The 8217-nt window shown below is 39.8% G+C and overlaps 1 annotated feature.

The window, feature by feature from the left end:
• Positions 7637-7686: an enhancer, noted in NCBI's record as "active region_20863". NCBI's record gives its function as "activates an Ori minimal core promoter by ATAC-STARR-seq in GM12878 lymphoblastoid cells {active_cell/tissue: GM12878}" and the evidence as "EXISTENCE:reporter gene assay evidence [ECO:0000049][PMID:35858748]".

Genomic DNA, 8217 nt, shown 5'->3' on the forward strand with positions numbered 1-8217 from the left:
AGAAATTGAAAAAGAATTCAATGTCCTTTTTATGTTAAATGTTTGATCTACAGGGGAGTAGAAACGTTCTTTTGACTGATATGTGCCCATTTCCCAAAGATATAGAGCACTAGTGTCTTTTTGCAATTATAGGCAAAGAAAGTGTTCTCAGTTATAAGACCTCTTTTTTTATTTTGGAGACAGAGTCTTGCTCTGTCACCCAGGCTGGAGTGCAGTTGTGTGATCTCAGCTTGCTGCAATCTCCGCCTCTCAGGTTGAAGCAATTCTCCTCCCTCAGCCTCTCAAGTAGCTGGGACTGCAGGCGCACGCTGCTACACCCGGCTAATTTTTTGTATTTTAGTAGAGAGAGTGTTTCACCGTGTTGTCCAGGCTGGTCTCCAACTCCTGAGCTCAGGCAATCTGCCCACCTTGGCCTCCCAAAGTGTTGGGATTACTGGCGTTAGCCACCATGCCCGTCCTTAAGATATCTTTTCCTATAAATTTTTTCTTTAATTTTTGAGGCCAATTACAATTTGTCTATGCTACATATTAAAGGAAAACAAGATTACATTTAGCACAAAAATATGTCTTATTTTTGGTTTACCGAAGCCACACATAATGGTCTTGGGTAAAAAACATCCTGAGTTCAAGAAGCTCCAGGACCACTGAAACGGAAAACAACAATAATCACAGATATAGAGAATTAACAGTCTTTTCTACTCAAAAGATTCTTGGTAGGAGAAAGAGAAATCCTTTATCCACATGTAATTTAGAAAAAAAACTATAAGCTAGCTTCTCCTACGACCAAAAGAGGCTAAAAGAAAACTTATATTTTTCTTTAAATATAAAAATGGGCCGGGCATGGTGGCTCATGCCTGTAATCTCAGCACTTTGGGAGGCAGAGGCTGGGGGATCACTTGAGGTCAGGAGTTCGAGACCAGCCTGGCCAACATGGTGAAACCCGTCTCTACTAAAAATACAAAAATTAGCCAGGTGTGGTGGCAGGCACCTGTAATCCCAGCTACTTGGTAGGCTGAGGCAGAAGAATCGCTTGAACCTGGGAGGCGCAGGTTGTAGTGAGCCGAGATCGCGCCACTGCACTCCAGCCTGGGCGACAGAGCAAGAGTCCATCTCAAAAAAAAAAAAAAAATATATATATATATATATATAATATAATCTACCAATATAATCTACATATTTGATTTAAAAATAAAATCTGCTAGTATAATCTACATATATGATTTTAAAGTAAAATTTTAAATTTTATTTAGAATAAATAATTTAATAATTAATAATTAAAATTAATAATTTTAAAAAATTTATTTTTATTTAAAAAGGGTATTATGCTGAGTGAAAAAGCCACTCTCAAAAGGCCACACACTGAATAATTCCATGTGTACAGCATTCTCAAAAATCACAAAAATATAGAGATGGAACACAGTGGTTGTTAGAGGTTACCTGGGAAGCGGGGGGAAAGGGATAGGAGGTGTGATTATAAAGGGGTAGCATCAGAGAGATCTTTGTGGTTTTGGACTGGTTCTGTATTGTGATTGCAGTTACAGGAATCTCATATGTGATGAAATGGCATCTGACTACACACACATTGTACTAATGTCAATTTCTGGGCTTTAATGCTGTACTAACGTTACATAACAATGTCAATACTAGGGGAAACAGGGTGAAGGGTACACAAGACCTCTCTCTATTGTCTTTGCAACTTCCTGTGAGTCTATAATTGTTTCAAAATGAAAGGGTTTTTTTGTTTGTTTGTTTGTTTTTAAAAGATCCCCAGGTGATTTAAGTACACACAAAATTTTGGAAACAATGACTCTGTTTGTTTACCTCAGTCACAAATGTGAAATAAATAGGAATAGAGTTATTATTTGTTCAGATGGTTCGGTAACAACCTAGTCACCTGGGGAGCCAAATAAAGAAAAAGAAACCCAGGCTTCAGACTAAATCAGATTCTGGGCTGAGCGCAGTGGCTCATGCCCATAATCCCAGGCAGGAGAATTGCTTGAAATAAGCCTGGACAACATAAAGAAATCCCATCTCTACAAAAAATAAAAAAATTAGCCAGGCATGGTGGCAAGTCCCTGTGGTTCAGCTATTCTGGAGGTGGAGGCAGGAGGACCACTGAGCCTAAGAGGTCAAGGCTGCAGTAAACTGCAGTTGTGCCACTGCACTCCGGTCTGGGTGACAGAGCAATACCTTGTCTCTAAATTAATCGGTCAATCAATCAATCAGGTTCTAACAAAGTGGCACTTGAGATTTTGCATTTTTCACACTCTCAGGTGAGGAGCAAGGACAAATTTCTGCCAAGGAATTAGACTGAAAAGATGTAGTGCCACATATGTGCATGCTTTTGTTAATATGTATGAGAAAAGTGGTCACTAATCTAGTCTTTTTCTTTTCTGTATCATCATGGAATAGTCAGTAACTAGTATCCCTAGGAATCATTATGAGGCTCCAAATCGTTCTGAGAAAAGAAATATATTTGTAAACACAAGTACATAAAATATTTACAAATATTTCTGTGATCATCAAATACATCTTCATTGGGAGGAAGAGTACTGAAGACAATAAAACAGCCTTCACAAATACACAGGGGGCTGTGAAAAGAGAAGTGTAAGTCATTCTTATACTAACTGGAGTTGGGGTGAAGAGTCCTTTGCTCTCTGTCGGCAAAGCTGTGAGTCCAGATCTGCTGAGAGCCATCCCCTTACCCTGACACATCCTCTCTAGTCCTTCCCACCCCACAGAGCTCTGATAAATCCCATCCACGGGGCAGGGAGAGTGAATCAGAGGCACAAAGAGAAACAGAAAAAAGGAAACAGAAAACTTGGTTTCAATTGTTTTCACTTGTCCTCTTTCCTGTCTCATTACAATTTTTAAGATAATGCTTTACTTATATCAAAGTAATATATGTACATATTTTTTAAAAGTCCAGTAGTTTTTGGCATTTGTTTGTTTGCTTATTTGTTTGTTTGAGATGGAGTCTTGCTCTGTCCCCCAGGCTGGAGTGCAGTGGCATGATCTCGGCTCACTACAACCTCCGCCTCCCGGGTTCAAGCGATTCTCCTGCCTGTCTCCCGAGTAGCTGGGATTACAGGTGCACACCACCATGCCCGGCTAATTTTTTGCATTTTTAGTAGAGACAGGTTTCACCATGTTGGTCAGGCTTCTCTCAAACTCCTGACCTTAAGTGATCTGCCCGCCTCGGCCTCCCAAAATGCTGGGATTATAGGCATGAGCCACCGTGCCTGGCAAGTCCAATAGTTTCATAAGGTTTCTAATATACAGCAGCAGTCCCTCCCTCCACCCCTCCTCATACCCAGTTTCTGCCCTGCCAATGGCAGCCACTTCCAACTCTTTTGGCTATAGTGTCTGACACTTTACTCCATATTCCAGACATCATGATTATATAGGAATTTGATATTTCAAGTTCAGATATCTTCTACTGGTATCCTATTCCTGATCAAAAGGGTTTAGATCTCTTCTACCTCCATCTGTTTATGTGGGAAAACCACCCTCACAACATGCACACACCCACACCCAAACACTCACTTCCTTATGTTTTTTTTTATTATTCTTGTTAAATATTTAGTATTTATATTATAGCAACTATCTAAATACATATTGCTGTTACCTGAGCCACTTCACTTTTAATTTTCCTTGGAGTTTATATGTGCTTCATTTGGCTTAATTTTCTAATTCATTTCAAGCTCTGTGCTAGAAGTATAAACCTCCTTTTGGTGCTTTTAAAAATACTGTGTATTCTACTTTGTTTGTTTTTAAATTTAGACATGTCTGGAGCTCTCCACCATTCCGTTTTAATTTCGATTTTTAAAATTCTAGGCCTGCTACATTATTGTATTCTGGGAATTATATTTACCATCATCCTGGCAATTCTCATTTTTCTTTTGTGTTGTTACTGGAGCTCACATATTTCTTTCTTGATTCACCCTCTCTTTCAATAGAGTATATTATCCAGAGCTTCCTGAAAAACAATTTGTTACAGTAAGGGTTTTAAAGCCTTGGTTGTCTTTATGCTACCCTTATTTGATTGATAGTATGTTAGCTATAGAATTCTAGATTGGATTTCATTTTCCCTTGGAAATTTGAAGATATTGCTTCATCATCGTCCAGTTTTCTATGCTTTGTATGTGTTCTACCCCCTTCTCCATTCCTTGAGTTTTAAAATCTTCTCTTTAATCCTGATGTTCTAAAATCTCACAATGCTCCATCAAGGCGTAGGAATTTTTTTTCCATTTATTTTGCTGGGCACTCTATGGATCCTTCAATCTGGACTCATGAGCTTTTATTCTGAGAAAGTTTCTAATACTTTTTCCTGATTATTTTCTCCTCTCTTTTCTATGTTCTGTCATTTTGGAACTCCTCATTTGAGCATTGGATCTGCTCAAATGATCCAACTTCCTCATATTATTTTTTAAACTTTTGTTGATTTAATTGTTTTTTTCCGTGTCACCCACACTGGAGTGCAGTGACACAATCTTGGCTCACTGCAGCCTTGACCTCCCAGGTTCAAGCCACCCTCCCACCTCAGCCTCTTGACTAGCTGGAACTGCAGGTCCATGCCCAGCTAATTTTTGTAGAGGCAGAGTTTTACCATGTTGCCCAAGCTGGTCTCAAACTCCTGAGCTCAAGACATCCACTAGCCTCAGCCTCCCAAAGTGCTGAGATTACAGGCATCAACCATTGCACCCGGTCCCTAATCTAACTAGTAATTTAGCTAATGCATTTTTAATTATCAAAAACGTTTTCTTGATTGTTGAATGTTCCTTTTTTAGTTTAGTTTTGTTTTTTTTTTTCCTATTTCATGGCTCAAAATCTTCTTCTCCCTGGATTGTCTCTTTTCTTCTAATTTAAAAAAAAAAAACAGTGTTTATTTTCTTTCTTGTTGAATGCTTTTCCCAAATCTCTTATGGTCCTTGGGTACTGCCCACATTTAAGAGTAAGTAAGGCTCTACAAAGCTGTTTGGGAGCACAGTGGTAGCCTTTATTGTAGGGTGATCAGGCCAGGACCCAGCTATTTTCCTGGGGGCCCACATTGTCCCCTGCCCATAACTAAAGTTTTTTCCCTTCGATTCTCTGGTTTCCCAAGGGAGGAATCATCCTGTTTCTAAGTCTGTAAGCCAGTCTTCTGACAGCTGAGTCAGGGAAGGGGGCTGAAGTCTAACTATAGAAATGCAGACTTTATCCAGTTTATCACTGATGGGCATTTGGGTTGATTGCATGTCTTTACTATTGTGAATAGTGCTGCAATGAACATATGCATGCATCTTTATAATAGAATGATTTATATTCCTTTGGGTATATACCCAGTAATGGGATTGCTGGGTCATATGGTGTTTCTGATTCTAAGTCTTTGAGGAATGGCCACACTGTCTTCCACAATGGTTTAACTAATTTACATTCCCACCAACAGTGTAAAAGTGTTTTCTCCACAGCCTTGCCAGCTTCTGTTGTTTCTTGACTGCATAAAGAAACTGTGGTACATATACACCATGGAATACTATGCAACCATAAAAAGGAACAAGATCATGTCCTTTGCAGGGACATGGATGAAGCTGGAAGCCATTATCCTCAGCAAACTAACGCAGAAACAGAAAACCAAACACTGCATGTTTTCACTTATAAGTGGGAGCTGAACAATGAGAACACATAAACACAGGGAGGGGAACAACACTTACTGGAGCCCGTCAGGAGAGGGTGGAGGAGGGGCAGAGCATTAGGGAAAAGAGCTAATGCATGCTGGGTTTAATACCTAGGTGTTGGGTTGATAGGTGCAGCAAACCATCATGGCACACGTTTACCTATGTAACAAACCTGCACATCCTGCACATGTACCCTGGAACTTAAAAAAAAAAAAATAAAAGAATTATAAAGAAAAAAAAGAAAATGCAAACTTTCTGTCAGTTCCTTTTTAGTAGGATCTTTCTTCTGTTTGCTACTCCTCATATTTCTAAATCCAGAATCTCTCTAATTCTCTCTAGAAAGTAAAGCTTCAATCCTCTCTTGGGGTGAGAAGTTGTAGCCTGGCTATGTAGAGAAAGAGTTCTAAAGGCCTGACTGCTTTCTTTCATTTTTATGCAGACTTCCTCATGTTTTTAGTCCCAGTCATACCCACTCTTGCCTGTTGTGTCTAATTCAAACCTTTCCAGAATTCTGCTATGAAAATCAGCCTGCTTCTTGGGAGTCACCCTCCTATAAGCAGTTAGATTTAAGAAAATGAAAACCAGCCTTACTGGTAATCAGCCTGTGATATTCCTAACAGAACATGAACAATGTTTCCAAGGAATATGAGCAAGGTCATAGAAACAACTTTTCTATGTAAGAACATACCACAGTTGCAGAAACACCAACAACCTTGGCCCAGTGTGGTGGCTCACACCTATAATCTCAGCACTTTGGGAGGCCAAGGTGGGAGGATCACTTGAGACCAGGAGTTTGAGACCAGGCCAGGCAACATAGCAAGGGAGTTTGAGTCCAGGCCAGGCAACATAGCAAGACCCCTGTCTCTACAAAAAATAATAATAATAAAATAAAAATAAAAAATAGCCAGGATTGCTGGCACACACCTGTAGTCTTAGCTACTCAGGAGGCTGAAGCAGTAGAATCCCTTGAGCCCAGGAGGTCAAGGCTGCAGTAGGCTATGATTGCACCTACTGCACTTGAGCCTGGGTAACAGAGCAAGATCCTGTCTCTAAATAAATAAGTAAAACTTTAAAAAAAAAAAAAAGACTAACAATCTTTTCTTCTAAGTGACTGCTGCTTTGTTACCAATGACATCCTCAGTCTGAGTTTGTTCCTCAGCCTCCTGAAAAAAATGTCTGAGATATCCAATTGCTGAAATTCCCCCACTTCTTGGCTATATCCCACTCACAGTTGGCAGCCCAATTCCTAATCCTTATGCAGCACAAATCTAGTCCTATAAGGAGCCCCTGCCTGTTCCCTATGCTCACTTACTGAGATGCTTCCAAGGTTCCTCTGAGGTGTATTCTCCCTTGCTGCAGCAAACTAAATGAACATAACTTGTTTAACTCCAGTTGTGTTCCTGGTGATCCCTGGCTGGTGGACTTTGACAGAACTTGGCTTTCTGTGGTCTGCTAAGTAAGTTAACTCTTGTATTAAATATATCCATTTTGCAGGTTCTGAAGTATTCATGACCTCTCTCCCTCTAATGTTGACACAAGTTACATTCTCTGTGTCCTTTTTCTCCCACTTGTATGTGAACCAATATGTTACTGTTGAAATTGAATTTCTATCACTTGCAACAGCTACCTGATAGTGTTACTAGCAGACAATACACTGAAACAGGAATCATAAATGAATAAATCTGAAACCCTGTGCTATGCAAATAAGCTATGACAATGAATTTACAGTATATGGTCTATCCCCAGATTGGCTCCTTCTATGAAGTGTCTGACCTGCCTACTAAACTCCAACTGTACATCAAATTCAACAAGACCAAAACTTAACTCATCCTCTTTCCCCAGCAGACTTGCTCCCCATCCTGCATTACCTATGCCAGTTAATCTGCCACTTAGTCACACAAGCCAGACTCTGGGAATTCCTTCTAGACTGTTCCCTCTTCCTCACCTCCAAACACTCTGTTATAACCAAGTTCTGACTCTTTCACTTCCTATTTCTTGAATTTGTCTGGTTCTTATGTCCTTAATACCATTGATCTATTTCAAAGTCTTTATCTTCTGCCACCTAGAACAATGCAATAGTTTCTAACTCTTCCATCTCCAGGGAAACAACCCTTATTCCACATCACTGTGGCTAGAAATCCGTTGCTAATGCACTGTTGCTTGTACTAGAATACAAATGCAATGGTTATTCCCCCATTTATCAATGGCTTCCTGTTGGCTATAAGACAAAGTCTAAGCTTCTTAATAAGCCATACAAAACCCTCTCAGACCTGGTCCCTGCCCATTTTGCCTGTCTCTAAACACATTCAATTTCAAATTTAACCCCTTCTTCCAGAAATGTCAAGACATGTATGTTACTCATTGTCTTTATTTATGCATTCCCTTTGGCCAATAAACTTCCCCCTCTTTGTCACTTAGCTGATTCCTACAAGTCCTCCAAGAAAACTTCCCTACCCTGCATCCCCCCACCCAGTAACATGTCCAATCCAGAAGACTATTAGTTTATCGTAATCTTTGAGAACCTTTGTTTTATTCAGCTTTGTATTCCTCAGTGAGTAGC

The sequence above is a fragment of the Homo sapiens genome, chromosome 3 (assembly GCF_000001405.40).
Source record: "Homo sapiens chromosome 3, GRCh38.p14 Primary Assembly".
In the NCBI taxonomy this organism is placed as follows: domain Eukaryota; kingdom Metazoa; phylum Chordata; class Mammalia; order Primates; family Hominidae; genus Homo; species Homo sapiens.